This window comes from Homo sapiens, chromosome 9 (assembly GCF_000001405.40).
Source record: "Homo sapiens chromosome 9, GRCh38.p14 Primary Assembly".
NCBI classification, from domain to species: Eukaryota; Metazoa; Chordata; class Mammalia; order Primates; family Hominidae; genus Homo; species Homo sapiens.
This window is the reverse complement of record NC_000009.12, coordinates 76,332,618-76,351,226: the sequence shown is the minus strand read 5'-3', so window position 1 is coordinate 76,351,226 and position 18,609 is coordinate 76,332,618. Positions and strand designations below refer to the sequence as shown.

Genomic DNA, 18,609 nt, shown 5'->3' with positions numbered 1-18,609 from the left:
TGACTGAAACTTCTATGGTGATGAATAACAAATGTAGAATTCATTCCGAGGCCCTCACGACTTAACTTCCCCATTATCTTAGATCTTCTCAGTTCCTTTTGAGTAAAGCTAAGGCTACAGGTGGGTAGCACCATTATTCCATGATGCAACGGTAGAAGGTTTTAAAATACTAAACATACACTATTTCTATAGTATGAGAATTTTGGGACATTTTGATTGCCCAGAATGACATGCAGGAAGTAAGCTCATGTTTCCCTCTAGAAAGAGCAGAAGGCCCAGGACCCCCAGCCCTCCATACCTCTCCCACTCTGTATTCCCCCACAAGACAGTCCGAGGTGCAGATCCCTCCCATGAGGTGGTAACTCCACACACAGGATAAACAATTCAACGCTCCTTTTCCTGAAAGAGAAAACATTCTAAGTTATGAGATTGACCTTAGATTTCAACTTCTGTCTTTGTTCCGGAACACTTAGGAACAAGGAATATGTCAAGTAAATTGAAGCAGAAGGGTGAATTGATTGAGGATACGAAAAAGAAAAAAGTCTCCCACACAAAGTAGAAATTATACAATTAGTTCAATCTATGTAGACTCTCAGTCTGAAAATTGAGGATTTGGGGATGACAGATCTTTTATTACAGCAAGAGGAAAGAGTTTCAGAGAATGAGAAATCATGTAGAAAGTTTATAAAACCTTTATTCGCTATTCTGCTTATTGTTTAACTAGTGTGGAGGATGTTACCAAGTGTTTGGAGGACTGCAATACTCAGTGCATAAATCATGAATAGACAGTTTCTAACTGAGAAACGGCACTAAACTTGGCACTTAAAATGCTAGGGCTAAAAGGACTCAGCAGATCATTTTGTTTGGTGGTTCTTAATTTTGGGGTGGTGATGATGGTGATACATTTCTTTGAAATTCTCTTGAAAGCTGTAAGTTCTCTTCTCAGAAATTTGACATCTTATTTATTTCTCATTTTAAAAATATTGATAAATGAAAACTAAGGCCCAGACATGTAATGTCACCTATCCAGGGTTACATAGTGATGGTCAAGATTCAAATTCAAGTTTGTTGACTCATAATCCGTTGATCTGTCTTTCTTTCTTTTTTTTTTTTTTCAGATGGGGTCTTGCTATGTTGTCCAGGCTGATCTCAAATTCCTGGACTCAAGGGATCCTCTTGTCTCAGCCTCCAAGTAGCTGGGATTATAGAGGCATGCAAGGTCAATTGCACCTTGCTGAGGTGCTCTTTCCACCACATATCTGCCTTAGCACATGAGCCACCAAATAGAAGAAGTCTGAATCTGCAGCCTGTTTCCTGTGGAGACAGTACTCTTATCTCCTAATTCAGACACCCCAAAAAGGACTGATCCAAACATTTATTCTATGCAGGTATCAAGGAATAACTTCTGGAAAGTTTGGGGACCGGAGACCTAAATCTATCTCATTCTGTTAGGAAGTCCTGGACATTTTTGCTGATAATTTTTAAATGGGAGCATAAGATTAATGGACATAGAATGTGCCTGGTATTGTAAGTTGGAACTTGGTATAGGTCTTCCCATCAGAACAATCCTGTAAAGGGTGGTTTTTGAACTTGAAATAGAACGATGGATCTGTCATTTACATTCACATAGTTAAATTGACGTTTCATGGCTGAACTGTGAGCTCAATCACTTATAATGTTTCTGTGGAAAAATAAATTCTGAGTTTCAAACAACAGCTTAGAGAATAAACACCTTTAGTACTGAACTGCTTCTTAGGTTGGAAGCTGCCTGTAGTGATATAAATTCAAAACCACTTTATTTTTATCTTAGCTCTAGCTTCATACAGAATTTCCCACATGTTCTGGAACGTTATTGTGGTCTCTGATGGAAGAATCAATCTTCTCCTATTTCCATTCTTCCTTTTTCCCATTCTACATTTTTCTTTTTCTTTTTTCTTTTTTTTTTTTTTTTTTGAGACAGAGTCTGGCTCTGTCGCCCAGGCTGGAGTGCAATGGCGCGATCTCGGCTCACTGCAAACTCCGCCTCCTGGGTTGACGCCATTCTCCTGCCTTAGCCTCCTGAGTAGCTGGGACTACAGGAGCCCGCCACCACGCCCAGCTAATTTTTTTTTATGTTTTTAGTAGAGACGGGGTTTCACTGTGTTAGCCAGGATGGTCTCGATCTCATCACCTGGTGATCCTCCCACCTCAGCCTCCCAAAGTGCTGGGATTACAGGCGTGAGCCACCACACCCAGCCCATTCTACATTTTTCTAAAATACAGCTTAGATGTCTTACTTCAATTTTTAACATACAAGAGAGTTTTTTTTAAATGAAGAGAAATTAAGGGTAGATACATGTTCTCACTTTAATGTGGAATCTAAAACAATTGAACTCATAGAAGTAAAGAGTAGAATGGTGGTTACCAGAGGCTGGGGGCTGGGGGGCTGAGGGGACTGGGGAGATGCTGGTCAAAGGGTATAAAGTTCTAGTTAGACAGGAAGAACATGTTTTTGAGATCTATTATATCTCATGGTGACTATAATTAACAATAATGTATTGTACTTTCAAAATTGGTAAGAGAGTAAATTTCAGATGTTCTTACCACAAAAAGGATTAAGTATTTGAAGTGATGGATTTCTTTTTTTTTTGAGGTGGAATCTTGCTCTGTTGCCCAGGCTATATTGCAACGGTGCAATCATGGCTTGGTGTAATTATGGCTCACTGCAGCCTCGACCTCCTGGGCTCAGGTGATCCTCCTACCTTAGCCTCCTGAGTAGCTGGGATTACAGGCACACACCCCATACCCAACTAATATATATTCTTTAGTTTTGTTTTTAGACAGAGTCTTGCTTTGTCACCCAGGCTGGAGTGCAGTGGCGCAATCTCAGCTCACTGCAAACTTCGCCTCCCAGGTTCAAGCAATTCTCCTACCTCAGCCTCCTGAGTAGCTGGGACTACAGGTGTGCACCACCACACTTGCCTAATTTTTTTGTATTTTCAATAGACATGAGGTTTCACCATGTTGGCTAGGCTGGTCTCGAACACCTAACCTCAAGTGATCCACCTGTCTTAGCCTCCCAAAGTGCTGGGATTACAGGCATGAGCCACTGCACCCGACCAAATTTTGTTTATTTTTTTGTAGAGATGAGGTCTCATTATGTTGCCTAGGCTGGTCTCAAATTCCTGACCTCAAGTGATCTGCCCACCTTGGCCTCCCAAAGTGCTGGGATTACAGGTGTGAGCCACTGTGCCTGGCCTGATGGACATGTTAATTAGCTTGATTTAATTATTCCACATTGTATACATATATCATGACATCCCTTTGTACCCTATAAATATATATAATTATAATTTGTCAATTTACAATAAAATAAATTAAGAGTAGAAAACACTAAAAGAGGGAGAACAGTCCATAACTAGGTTAGGTCACAAAATTCCTACCATAAGGTTGGTTACATTTTCTTTCTTTTTTTTTTTTTTTTCTTTTTATTTTTGGAGACGGAGTTTTACTCTTGTTAGTAGAGATGGGGTTTCACCATGTTGGCCAGGCTGGTCTTGATCTCCTGACCTCAGGTTATCTGCCCACCTTGGCCTCCCAAAGTGCTGGGATTACAGTCGTGAGCCACTGCACCTGGCCAAGTTTGGTTACATTTTCTAGAAGACCAACAATAAATTGTCTGAGGCCCAGATCCCAGGCAATACCCAAGGGCACTGTATGTCAGCTTTGGGTGACAAATCAGCCTTCATTTACATCTCCTACACCAATTAATTGCAAAACTTGCACACTTAGGGTACCCAGAATCTTTAGCAAAAGGCAGTTTGTTGATTTCCAGAAGGCTTTCTATTATTTTAAAGTTTAACACCCTACATCTATCATTGCTTCTAAGGTTCTGCAGGAGCTCTGGGACCTAAAAGATAGGCATTTTGTCATTTCTTTAAAACTCAGAGCAGTTCACCATCTGCTCTCCTTCAGACTGAACCCCATGGGATGAATTCAACAAATGCAGAGCAACTTCTGGGGTCTCTTCATGGGCCTCAGTCTACACAGAAAGATGCAGCTTGGGAGAGTTAAGAGGCTTTGGTTACTCAGCCTGGGTTTTGATTCCAAACCATTTTATGAGGAGAAGAAACAATAACACAAAATCAAAAAACAAAAATGAAAAAAAAAATAGAAAAAATAAAATTTTATGCAGAGGATAAGTAAAAAGTTAGGTGTGTGAAGGCAAGGAATGAGCTAATTATGGAGGTGTCAGTTACAGAGAAAGGTACATATTAAGCCTGAGTATGCTATGTTTTCCTGCTCCACCCCTCCTTCCATGCTTTTACATATTTTTCTTTTTTAACATCCTAAAACTATTGGGCAGTCCAAAGTGAACGAAATATAATTTAGCTGGTAATTTCTTATGTAGGTTGCTAAATTTTTTCTGATTCTTTCATGCCTCCTCATTTCTTACTATGAGAGCTAATGACTTAAAAAGGAAGGAATTCATCTTTTTTTCTACCTAGTTTATATCCCGTGAGAAAAACCTGTCTCCAGATTTTGTATCTGTATGTTGCAAAACCAGATGATAGCACAACATTTTCCTAACCAGCAAGGGACATATGTGCTATAGTAAAGAAAGGACTGCTCACTGCAAAGAATTATATGAAAAAATAACATTAAATAAAAAATTAAAATTAAAAAAATAATGATAGCAGAAAAAATGAGCACCAAAGACAGAAAACTTCAACTGGGCAAGTTCACGGGTTGATGTCAAATACAGGAGGAAGAAGTACAAACACTCAGGACAGCTTCAGGATTTACCCACTAACTCCTAGTCATCCCTTGAATACATTCTCAAGGATACTATGTGGATGAACTTTTGAGACTCGGAATGCCCAAAATCATCATCCTTAATTCACCCAGGAAATCTCAAACCCAACTAAAGACATTCATAGTATTTCTATACTATAAGGCCACAGTAACCAAAATAGCATGGTACTGGTACAAAGACAGACACATAGACCAATGGAAAAGAATAGAGAACCCAGAAATAATGCCACACACCTACAACCATCTGATTTTTGACAAAGTTGGCAAAAATAAACGTGGGAAAAATAATCTCTGGTCAATAAATGGTGCTGGGATAGCTGGACAGCTATATGCAGAAGAATAAAACTGGATCCCTACCTGTCACCATATAGGTGATAACTCAAGATGGATTAAAGATTTAAATGTAAGACTTTGGCCAGGCGTGGTGGTCCACGCCTGTAATCCCAGCACTTTGGGAGGCCAACGTGCACTGATCACTTGAGACCAGGAATTTGAGACCAGCCTGGCCAACATGGTGAAACCGTGTCTCTACTAAAAATACAAAAATTAGCCAGGCGTGGTGGCACACGCCTGTAGTCCCAGCTACTCGGGAGGCTGAGACAGGAGAATTGCTTGAACCCAGGAGGCAGAGGTTGCAGTGAGCCGAGATCACACCACTGCACTCAAGCCTGGGCAACAAAGCGAGACTCTGTCTCAAAAAACAAACAAACAGGCCAGGCGCGGTGGCTCACGTCTGTAATCCCAGCACTTTGGGAGGCTGAGGCGGGTGTATCACGAGGTCAGGAGATCGAGACCATCCTGTCTAACATGGTGAAACCCCGTCTCTACTAAAAATATTTAAAAAAAATTAGCAGGTCGTGGCAGCAGGCGCCTGTAGTCCCAGCTACTCAGGAGGCTGAGTCAGGAGAATAGCGTGAACCCGGGAGGCAGAGCTTGCCGTAAACCAAGATTGCGCCACTGCACTCCAGCCTGGGCGACAGAGTGAGACTCCGTCTCAAAAAACAAATAAACAAACAAACAAAGAATACGAAAATAAGCCAGGGGTGGTAGCATGCACCTCTAGTTTCAGTTACTTGAGAGGCTGAGGCATGAATATCCCTTGAACCCGGCAGGCGGAAACTGCGGTGAGCCAAGATTGCATCACTGCACTTTAGCCTGGGTGACAGAACTTTAGCCTGGGCGACAGAGTAAGACTCTGTTGCAAAAATAAAATAAAGTAAAATAAAATAAAATAAAATAAAATAAAATAATAAAATAAAATAAGGGAACAATAGACACTGGGAAATACAAGAGCAGGGAGAGAAGGAGTGGGGCAAGGGTTGAAAAACTACTTATTGGGTACTACTCTCACTACTTGGGTGACAGTTATTTATACTCCAAACTTCAGCATCATGCACTATACCTTTGTAACAAACCTGCACATATACCCCCAATTCTAAAATAAAAGTTGAAAAAAATTTGTTGTTTTTCAAACTGTGCTTACAATATCACGAATCATTTATCTAATCCCCGCAATCATCTTCAAAGGCTGGTGTCGTCCTGTTTTGATTGGTTGACGGTAAGAGACATTAGCTTACCTAATGATGATTGTCTAATGTTAATTAGGACCCAAGTGCCCCCACTGCACTGCGCCGCCCACTGCACAACACTAGTGGGCTGGAATTAGGGTCGTCAGATTTCGCAAATCAAATACAGTATTTTATCAGACAACCCTAGTTGGAATAAAGGTCCCACACATCCAGTAATGATGGTAACAGAGGTAAGTTCAACTTTTCAAAAAACCAAATAGAAAGCCAATATTTACCACCATATGGCCAATGATAATATCAGCTTTCCACCACTCCCATCCCACCCCCAATTCAGTGTATTTTCTCATCTGTTATCTAATTCCAGTTAGAAGTTTTAAGTGGTAACCATATATGTCTCTGGAATGAAAAAGCGATAACAGATTAATGAGTAGTTAATGCAGTTTGTTTGGAAGGCTAATTCTTTCATGTGCTGGAGTCAATTGTGAATGGGCACAGACTGGGAACCATGATATGGTAGAGTTTTTATGGAGTTGCTTTAGGGGCTTCCTGGGAATGGTGGGTGGTGAGGGGAGCATGGAGAGGCATCAGATGGGGTTCTGGGGTGGCTCCTCTGCTCCCACCTGAGCAGCTCTGCCTGGATTGGTTTACCTAATAGGATTCAGCCTCAGATTTTATCTGAGGAAGGTGGCCACTGCTAAAATATCATTTGAAACCATTGCTCTAGGTTATTACTGTGGTGTCCAATACAGCAGCCACTAGCCACAGGTAGCCACTGAGCAGTTGAAATATGGCTAGTGCAACTTGAGTTGTGCTGTACATGTAAAATAAACATTGGACTTTCAAAGACAGTACAACACATGTAAAACATCTCAGTAATTTTATGTAGATTACATGTTCAAATGATAATATTTTGGATAAATGAAGTGTATGATTAAAATTAATTATACTTTTTTTTTTTAAACATGACTACTAAAAATTTTCAATCACATTTTATTTCTACTGGACAGTGCTGCTACACCACTAAGTACAATTACACAAATTAAACTAGCCTGGTCTGCGGGGACCTTGGCTGTCTTGTTCACAGTTGTAGAACATTGTGCCTTAAGTAAATGGATGAATGAAGACACAGAGTACTAAGGGAACATAGAATGAAGGGTCTGGGGAGGTTTTCTGGAGGAAGTGATGACTCTAATGGATCAGAAAGAGGTAGCCATGCAAAGCAGGCTGGAGAAACTATTCCAGAGAGAGGGAAAGTGGGTGAGGTTGGTTCAGGTTTATAGTTACTAATTATGCCCTGATTAGAGGATGGGAGAAGAGATGGTAAGAGATGAGGCTGAATATGAGAAGAGCTCTATGCTGAAGGGCCTCATACGCAAACATACTAAATTAAAATTCTATCCTGGCCAGGCCTGGTGGCTCACACCTGTAATCCCAGCACTTTGGGAGGCTGAGGCAGGCAGATCACTTGAGGTCAGGAGTTCAAGATCAGCCTGGCCAACATGGTGAAACCCCATCTCTACTCAAAATACACACACACACACACACACACACACACACACACACACACACAAATTACCCAGGTGCGGTGGTGTGTGCCTGTAATCCCAGTTACTTGGGAGGCTGGTTCAGGATAATCATTTGAACCCAGGAAGCAGAGGTTGTAGTGAGCCAAGATCATGCCACCGCATGCCAGCCTAGGTGACACAGCGAGGCTCTGTCTCAAAAAAAAAAAAAAAAATTCTATCCTAAGGTCAGTAGAGAGTTGTTTTTTAAGTGGAGATGTATCATTATATTTGTTGTATAAAGAGATCAGTCTAAGAGCATATGGAAGACTGGTTTATTACAGGGTGACTAATGCTAAAGGTAGGAAGACCAATTAAATAAATAATTGGTAAACAATTCAGACAATGAATGATGAGTCTGAACTAAGACAGTGACACTAGAATACCAAGAGAGGGGAGATGGAATTAGGAGATATTTAAGGGGTAGGTTTGGCAGGATTTGGGAACAAATTGAATGTGGGGATTGAGAGAGGGGGAGGAGCAGAGGGTAATGGCCAGGTTACTGTCTCAGGCAACTGGGTGAATGGTGGGGCCATTTATCCCAATAGGGAGCACAGAACAAGTAGTTTGGGAGTGGGGTGAGGAGTTGGAGGTGTCTGTTGAGCATCCAATCAGAGATACTCAGTCAGCAACTGGATGTATGGAACCGGAGCTCAGGAAAACCATTTGGGAAAAGAAGCAGATTTAGAGACACCAAGGCATAGGTAATATTGGAAGCCACCTTAAACTTGGAGATGGCTATATTCACATGTACTTGGGAAGAAGTTATTTTAAAATATAATGTCATCAAGATACTTTTCAGGAATTTCAGCTCAGTGGCTAGACAGCAAACGTGCTGATGGTCTTCTCCCAGTGTGGGGGAATACCTGATTTCTCATCTTGTTTTCCCTAATTCTTGGTGTTTCTATATCATCAACATATTGCCTCAAGATGAATCATTTTGGAAGGGGAAAAAAAAAGAGGATTAGAGGCAGGCTCTAACAGGTTGGCCTTTGCTTATTTCATCCACAAGTCTTAAGTATCCCTCCTGCCATCCCACCAGGCATTTGGATTAGTAGAGTGAGGCTGGGCAATAATTTAGGGTACAATCCTCTTCTAAGAATCTGATTATCCATTAGTGACACATATGCATTAAAAAAATATTTTATAAGCTCAGGTTCTGACATCCCATTTACTTTAAACATAATGAAATTATAGAATAAATATAAAGAGAGGAAAACAAAATAAAGATAGATGGCCTTACAAAGAAAATGAAATCTCTTTGGAACATAAAGGAAATATAAATGCAAAATGGTAGTCAGGTTCAAGCCATCCACCTTCTCTGCTCCAGGACTAGAAGTAGGCAATGGTGACTGTGAGCTCACCTTTTCTACCAAAATAGGAACTAAAAGTGTTTTACATAAGACCAGAGCCAAAATCCAGGCTTAGCGCTTAAATCAGGAGTCATGTTGGGACTCTGCCTTCATAGACATCACCTCCTGACAAGATCTCTCCTAAGCTGCTGATTGAATTGCTGATGGGATCTATGCTGTCATCAATATCACTTCCAGGAATACTGGAACATCTTGTTCTGGACTGAGTTTCAGGTTGAAGACAGGGTTAGAGTTAATGGAAAAATTTCTAGACTGTGAGAAGTAAAGATAAGAGAGAGAGGGAGTAAAGAACCAAAACCAAAATATTTCATTTACAGTGAGCTTAAGACCAGCATTCCAAAGTATATAGATAAAATGAATGCTAAGAAAGATGACAGGCCAGTGCAGTGGCTCACGCCTGTAACCCCAGCACTTTGGGTGGCCAAGATGGGAGGATTGCTTGAGCCCAGGAGTTCAAGATCAGCCTGGGCAACATGGCGAGACATCGTCTCTATTAATTATAAAATAAAGTTTAAAAAAAGGATGACAAACATGATCAATAATTAGAACATGAATTTAAATCAGATAATACTGATTTCATAGAAACATTTGACAAAGTATTTAAAATTGGTATGTTTAAGATGCTCATAAATAAATGAAGACATAGTATCCATAAATATGTTAAATTATAAGACACAAACAGAAAGATCTAAAATAAAAATGGATGAGAAGAAGAAACAATTTGAAATCTTTTTTTTTGTTTTTGAGGCATGGTCTCACTCTGTCACCCAGGCTGGAGTGCAGTGGCACAATCATGGCTCACTGCTGTCTTGACATCCCTTGCCCAAGTGATCTTCCCACCTCAGCCTCCTGAGTAGCTGGGATTACTGTTGTGTGCCACCACTCCTGACTAATTTTTGTATTTTTTTTTTTTTTCTGTAGAAACAGGATTTCGCCAAGTTGCCCAGGCTGGTCTCGAACTCCTGGGCTCTAGTGATCCTCCCACCTCAGCCTTCCATAGTGGTGGGATTACAGGTATTAGCCACTGCACCTGGCCAATTAGAACTCTCAAAAGTAAAAATATAGTCACTTAAATTGAAAACAAAAAAAATAGATGGGTTGGATTTTAGACTGAACACAGTCTAAAACAAGTCAGGGAATGAAATGGAGTGCTGAAGAATTAACCTAGTATAACTCACATAGAGTCAAAGAGGCAAAATATAAAAGAGTAGGTAGGATACAAAGGAAGGATCAATAAACTCTAAATTGCATTTAATAGAAATTCCATAAAACGAGATTGGAGGGGAGAGTGGAGAAACAATATTTGAAGTTTTTTTTTTTTTTTTTTTTGACAGTCTCGTTCTGTTGCCACGCTGGAGTGCAATGGCGCAATCTCGGCTCACTGCAACCTCTGCCTCCAGGTTTCAAGCGATTCTCCCACCTCAACCTCCCAAGTAGTTGAGATTACAGGCACCCGCCACTACGCCTGGCTAATTTTAGTATTTTAGTAGAGATGGGGTTTCACCATGTTGGTCAGGCTGGTCTCGAACTCCTGACCTCAGGTGATCCGCCCACCTCAGCCTCCCAAAGTGCTGGGATTACAGGTGTGAGCCACCGCGCCTGGCTATTTGAAGATCTTATAGCTGAACATTTTTTAATTTGCAAAAAGACATTAGGAATTTGTTACCTATACAGTCATTCATTCAGTGAACAAACACTGAATGAAAACTTATGTTTTACACTCCAGAGTAGAAACAAGGGATACACAATGAATGTAGTATAATCCTTGCCTTTGCTTGAGGGGCTCACAATTAGTAGGAGGGATGGACTTGTTTAATTAAAATGTAGTGTAAAATTTCCATGATAAAGCAGTGTATTACAGAATTAAGGAGGAAGAATACTCCTGGGAGGACTAACAAAAGCTTCATGGAGGAGATGAGATGATACTCAAGCTGAATCTTTAAGTTGAGAGTTCCCTACAGCATTGAGTCAATAGAGGAATGAAAGAACATGGCATATTTGGTGGCTGCTGAGTGGTTCTGGGTAGTTCTAGCTTCTAGAATACATGGAAGACAAGTCCTTAAGACATAAGTTAAGGGGACTGCTGGGAAAATCTTAATAGCCTTTTAAATATAAAAACATTTATTGGCCGGGTGCGGTGGCTCACACATGTAATCCCAGCACTTTGGGAGGTTGAGGCGGGCGGATCATGAGGTCAGGAGTTCGAGACCAGCCTGATCAATATGGTGAAACCCTGCCTCTACTAAAAATACAAAAATTAGCCAGGCGTGGTGGTGCACGTCTGTAATCCCAGCTACTTAGGAGGCTGAGGCAGGAGAATCGCTTGATCCTGGGAGGCGGAGGTTGCAGTGAGCCAAGATCGCGCCACTGCACTCCAGCCTGGGCGACAGAGTGAGACTCCATCTCAAAACAAACAAAAACACTTATTAAAAGTTTATTGAAGTGTAGTAAGTAAATGCATAGAATGGAGAGATATACCATTATACCATATTCATAAATATGATAACTCAGGATCATAAAGATGGGGTTTTCTCCAAAATAAATTCAATGCAATGCTACTCAATATCCAAATACTTTTTAAAAATGAAAGATTTTTAAAAAATTAAACCTGACTGGTTACATATTTATATAAAAGAACTAAAAATAGCCAAGATAATTTTGAAAAGAACAGGTATGTATCCTACCAGCTAATAATATTTTTCTAGAAAGTTTTAACAATTAAAATATAGAAGTATTTCATTCTTAAATATTGAGAAGCATTCATGGTGCTCATATATTTATGGCAAGATGTAGAGAAAAATGAGAAATTTGAATTTTAAGGCAATCACTCTGGCATTAGTATACCAGATGACCTGGTGTGGGGGCAAGATTGAGAGTTGGGGTGACCTGCTGGCTGCTTCAAAAGGTGTGATACTAGATACTGAGAATGGAAGATGAGGGTAGTGAGAATGAAAAAGATCTCATTAGATAACTATTTGGGAAAGAGTACCAACAGATCTTGAAGTTTAGCTTTGTTGGAGGTGGGTGGGTTGGGCAGGCAACAGGGGAAGGAGAAGAGTCAAGGAGAACTTCAAAGTATCAGCCTGGACTCCTTGGTAGATGGTGAGCCTTAAGGATCTCTGGGACAGACAACTAGATTTCTGTAAAAGAGGCATGGAGCTTGGGAGAGTTTGAGGCAGAAGTCTCAGGGAATAGTGGGAGTAATGAAAATAAACAAATTCCCCCAGACAGACTCATCAGGTAGAGTAGGAAAATGATGAGTGAACGAACAATACTTCCTCAAGGAGATGATGCCTGTCTCTGGGCCTTGAAGGATGGGGGATGGGCAGGAGCAGCCCAGGTTAGAGGGAAGATGTGGAAGTTAAGAGCGAACAGAGGGCGCTGATGCTGGAGAGGATCACACACGAGGTAGGGAAGCAAGAGGAACCTCCCAGGTGGTGAGAAGAGAGAAAGGGGCAAATAAGGAAGAAAACCTTTTCATTTTTCTACGCACTCATGCAAAATGACAGGTAGACTCTCACCTTTGCATTGATCACAAGTCGGATGGCATCTCTCACAGGTCTGTGTGCTTTGCTCTACATAGTAATGGTCTGGGCAGGAGCGATGACACTCTCCTTTGGAGCGGAGCAGAAAGAAAAATCTATCGCAAGACAGGCAGTCTGTGGGCCGTGGGCCCTGGCACCCCTTGCAGCTCCTGTTGCACCTCTCACACCGGCCAGTGGAGTTGTCTGCGTAATATCTGAAACCAAAGGAGAAGAAAAGATGGAATAGTAAGCTTTGCTCCTAAATTGGATGCAGTGGAAAAACATGGTGGTCAGGTTTCATTTACAAGCTGAGTGACTTTAGCCTCTTTACCTTACTCATTAGATTCATTGCTAATAACACTAATGAATCCAATGATTCCCAGTGTTCTTACCTGTAAATTGGGCCAATCCCTCCCCTACTATTTGTGAAAATTAAACTGGGTAACTAACACATATGAAAAGACCTAGTGCTTATAACACCTAGTAGCACCTCCATCGTTGCTAGCTACCATTGCCTTTTTCTACCATGTGTCTCTCCAAGTTCATGCTTTAAGTTGTGATTAATGGCTGGGATCAGAGAATGGAAGGATCTTTTTTTTTTTTTAAAACAGAGATGGGTGTCTCACTATGTTGGCCTGGCCATTCAGAGATACATTTAAAAGATCCATCCAGGCTGGGTGCAGTGGCTCACACCTGTAATTATAGCACTTTGGGAGGCCGACATGGGTGGATCACTTGAGGTCAGAAGTTTGAGACCAGCCTGGCCAACATGGTGAAACCCTGTCTCTACTAAAAATACAAAAATTAGCCAGACATGGTAGCATGTGCCTGTAATCCCAGCTACTTGGGAGGCTGATGCAGGAGAATCGTTTGAACCTGGGTGGTGGAGGTTGCAGTGAGCCGAGATCATGCCACTGCACTCCATCCTAGGCGATAATGTGAGACTCCGTCTCAAAAAAAGAGATCCATCTGGCCAGGTACAGTGGCTTACACCTGTAATCCCAGCACTTTGGGAGGCCAAGATGAGAGGATGACTTGAAGCCAGGAGTTCAAGACCAGCCTGGTCAATCAACATGGTGAAACCTCATCTCTACTAAAAATACAAACAAACAAACAAACAAAAGTAGCCAGATGTGGTGTGCAGTCCCAGCTACTTGGGTGGCTGAGGCATGAGAATTGTTTGAACCCAGGAGAGTGAGCTGAGAGCACACCACTGCACTCTAGCCTGGGTGACAGAGTGAGACTGTCATAAATAAAATACAATAAAAGATAACATAAAATAAATAAATGTACCTCTGAATTATTCTTCTAATTTGCCAATTAAAGAAGAAATTTTGAAATAGGAGGTGACAAGTGTGATATCGACATTTACATAATAGATATAACCTTGTTTGAAAAGATTTTTGGAAGTTAAATATGATAACTATAACCACTATTCATTAAGTTTCTACTAATATGCCTGATAGTATTCCAGGGACTTCATAAACATTATTTCACCTTATTGAACCTACAAATGAGACACTAGAGTGTGGTAGTTAGCACTTGCCCTCTGGAACAAGACTACAGTTTTAAATCCCAGTCATACCACTTACAAGCTGTATGACCTTGGGCCAGTCACTCAACATCTCTGTGCCTCAGGTTTCTCATCTATAAGATGGGACTAATGTTAGTACCTACAATTAAACATGTAATTACTGAGAAAGGGGTGGGGACCATGATGGGCACATTATAAATAATTAATGTATATTAGTGATAATTATAAATTTTATGATTTATCCTCATAGCAAATCTTATGATTTAGGTATTATTATCCTTATTTTACAGAAGCAAACATTGAAGCTTAGAGAATTTAGACAACTTGCTTAAAGTCAGTTAGTGAAATGAGACAATATGATTTGAGCTTAACTGTTAAACGCTACAACAAAATAGTGCATTAATTGAAGGCAAACAAAGGTTTGCAAGCAAGATAAAAGAGGGTAACAAAATTCTTGCTAAGGATGAACTTCTAAAGGTCATCTGATTCATCTCTGTATTTCTAGACATCAGCACCACTAAACCTATCCTAGAAACCTAAAGGTTCATCTTTGTTTTCTCTGGTGCAACACTACAGGTCCCAATAGGCTTTTTTTTTGTAGACTAATTCAGCTCCATGAACTTGCTGAAAACTCACACCATGCCTAGGTTATGTTGAGGCTTGGTCTGTTTAGCCACCTGTCACTGATCTGAGTGAGCACACTTGAACCTCAGTGGCCCAGCTTGTGGTAACTTGAGACTTCCTTCACTTTTTGCAGTTATGTGAAGAACAATGACTACTATGTGTCAATCTGTAAGACTGAGGTATCTAAGAGACAAGGCGATGATGAGCTGAATGGTTGACAAAGCCCACATAAGACTCAAGAAAAGAAACCATCAGGGAAAAGTGAAATCTACACAGAGCAGAGGGAATACACAGGATTAGAGTCAGAAGATAGAATTTTTAATCCTGGCTCTGCCATGTATTAGTAGCTCTGTGACTTTGGGCAAGTCACTTAACCCCTCTGATCCTCAGTTTCTTCATCTGTAAAATGGAGAGACTAACAGTAACGTCATGAGATTGTTGTAGAATCAAATCATAATGTAAAGATATATTGTGAGTGGAAATACTTTGTAACTCTTAAGCAGCATACAAAAGTTTTTTTACCTACTGTTTTTATTATAGATTGTTATAAAGATGAAAAGCATCAGTAGGAACTGTGGGAAAGAAAGCTTATCAATTCTAAGTAGGTTTTTAAAATTATCAAGGAGTAATGCTAAAAGAGACAATGAAGAGTTTATTGGAACAGATTAAAAGAGTACAACACCACTGCTTGCTTTGAGGACTCATCTTTTGAGCCTCCCAGCCTTGAAGAGCATAAGCACAAGCAGTAACCTAGGCTTTAAAGAAACTTCTCTGAGTTAAACACCAAAATAATTACGTGGGTTGGGATAGGGTGCAGAGAAGTGTATGCCTACTTTTCCAAGCCAGAGATTTAACATACAAGGGTTATGCCAAGCATGTGGAACACTGATTTTACTAAAGGAAGAGTTCTCATATACCTCATGAATATTCCATTTCTTCTTTATTAAAGAGATCTATGGCAACCTGTGCCTCCCCCCACCAGCCCTGGGGAACTTTACACGCTGTGGAACAATTGTCTTCTTAATTCCATGGTCTGCATTCTACTTAGATCACAGGATGATCAAGCACCCTTTTTGTGTTTGAGAGTGTTTACTGACTTGATTTGAGGAAGATGGGATCCAGATCTTTTCAGACACTTACTAGGGTGATGCAGAAGGGCTAAGCCAGGTAGCTTCATTCCTGTTTTTGTTTGTTTGTTTGTTTGTTTTTAAGACAGGGTCTTGTTCTGTTGCCCAGGCTGGAGTGCAGTGGTGCGATCTTGGCTCACTGAAACCTTCACCTCCAAGGTTCAAGCAATTCTCATGCCACAGATTCCCCAGTAGCTGGGATCACAGGTGCCTGCCTGCACACCCTGCTAATTTTTGTATTGTTAATAGAGACAGGGTCTCACCATGTTGGCAAGGCTGGTCGTGAACTCCTGGCCTCAAGTGATCTGCCCGCCTCAGCCTTTGAAAGTGCTGGAATTACAGGCATGAGCCACCACACCTGGCCATCCATCTCTGTTCTTGTCTGGCAGGGCCCTTTCTTCCTTGATCTATATGACTGGTGTTTTTCTTCTTTTCTGAGACAGAATCTTGCTCCAGGTTGGAGTGCAGTGGTGTGATCTTGGCTCACTGCAACCTTGGCCTCCTGGGTTCAAGCAATTCTCCTCCCTCAGCCTCCCAAGTAGCTGGGATGACAGGCACGTGCCACCATGCCTGGCTAGTTTTTGTATTTTTAGTAGAGATGGGGTTTCACCCTGTTGGCCAGGCTGGTCTCAAACTCCTAACCTCACCTCCCACCCACCTCGGCCTCCCAAAGTGCTGGGATTATAGGCGTGAGCCACCCTGCCCAGCCTGGCTGGTGTTTTTCAAGAGCTGCCAATGTGTGGCTCTGTGCTGAGTGTTGTAGAAGCAAATGTAAGACGTAAGAGGTGTTTTTCTTCCATGAGTTTATAATTTTCTTGGGAAGAGGCATATAAAAATAAGAATAAACTCTTAAAGTCAGTGATATGGTTTGGTTCTGTGTCTCACCCAAATCTCATCTTGAATTGTACTCCCATAATTCCCATGTGCTGTGGGAGGGACCCTGTGGGAGATGGTTGGATTGTAGGGGCGGTTTCCCCCATGCTGTTCTTGCTGTTGTGAATAAGTCTTACGAGATCTGACGGTTTGATAAGGAGAAACCCGTTTCGCCTGGCTCTCATTCTCTCTCTTTGCCTGCCGCTATCCACATAAGATGTGACTTGCTCCTACTTGCCTTCTGCCATGATTGTGAGGCCTCCCCATCCACATGGAACTGTAAGTCGAATTAAACCTCTTTAGTTTGTAAATTGCCCAGTCTTTGGGTATGTCTTTATCAGCCGCGTGAAAACAAACACAGTCAGTCTTTCTTTTACTCATCTTATTTATACATACAAAGTACTCATCATGAAATGTGTTAAATAAATAAGTGAATGAATGAGATAAATCAAAATGCAAGGCAGCATATAGCACTAAAATGAATGAAACAAGCAGTAACTGCTATAGGACCGAAGAGATGTGTCAATTTGGGTGAAAGCATTTGAGGAAGGTCTAAGGTTACAGCCCTTGATTTGGGTCTGGAAACTCCCAGTGCTCTAGGTTATTGATTGGGTAGAAAGAGTCAGCAACAGGCCTATCATCAATCTTTTACTCTTTACTGGGAATGCCTGGGGGAGAAAAAGGATATGCTGGCAATCAGACCTTCTGATAACACTAACAGTTCTTCCTAGCAGAAAAATAATAGAGTCCTTATCCATGAAATGCTTTTAGAAGGATACATCAAGTGCGTGTGTCTACGTTGTTTATGATAACAAAACCTGTAATTTGTGGATTTATAGGTGACATGACAGGTTGGGGAATTAATGGGGAATAAATGGAGATGTTAATGGAACTATTTCCTTTGTAAATCAATGTTCCACACTCACTGCTCTCCTCACATAAGCAGGTTGGGAGAATGTGAGACCCTGAATTTTAAATCTGAATCAGAACAAGTCCTGAAGGTGAAGAAAAAGAACCTCCATTAATGATCTTGGGCTTCTCTGAGGAAAGGATGCTTTGCTTCTGCCTTGTGATTGCTGAGACCCTTTGCCAAATTGTTTTAATTTTTAGAAACAAGGTCTTGCTCTGTCACTGAGGCTGGAGTGCAGTGGTGCAATCATAGCTTACTGCAGCCTCCAACTCCTGGGTTCAAGTGATCATCCCCTGCCTCAGCTTCTATAGAAGCTGGGACTATAGCCTGATGGCACCATGCCCAGCTAATCTTATTTTAATATTTTACAGATGGGGTCTCAAGATGTTGCCCATACTGGTTCAAACTCCTGCCTTAAGTGATCCTCCAGCCTCAACCTCCCACGTAGTTGGGATTACAGGCATGAGCCACAGTGCCCAGCTGCCAATATGCTTTGAATTTTCAGTAAGGACTGTCGTTGAGGAAGATCAATTGCTCAGGTGAGTCCGGCTTGACAATCTGACCCTTTGTGTTAACTCACTCGGTCACTCTGCCTCTCCTGTTTCTCTTCTGTTACTGTGAATTGGTTCATCTTTGCTCCTTACTAGCACTGAGACTTCAACCTGGTTTTATAAGTGTTCTGAATCTTAGTTTCCTCATTTGTAAAATGGGTTGATATCTGCTGTGGCTGTGAAATTACATGGGGGAAAATGTATTGAG

General features: G+C 41.2%; 1 protein-coding gene across 5 annotated transcripts in view; it reads right to left on the bottom strand.

The window, feature by feature from the left end:
• Positions 1-18,609, bottom strand: part of PCSK5 (proprotein convertase subtilisin/kexin type 5) — a 473,167-nt gene that overhangs the window by 11,749 nt on the left and 442,809 nt on the right. For all 5 annotated transcript variants that reach the window (XM_047423454.1, NM_001372043.1, XM_011518769.4 and 2 more), the window contains 2 exons: positions 12,780-12,997; positions 299-399 (listed from right to left, as the gene is read on the bottom strand). In XM_047423454.1, the coding sequence (XP_047279410.1) occupies positions 299-399; positions 12,780-12,997 (319 nt within the window). The remainder of the gene's footprint in view (positions 1-298; positions 400-12,779; positions 12,998-18,609) is intronic.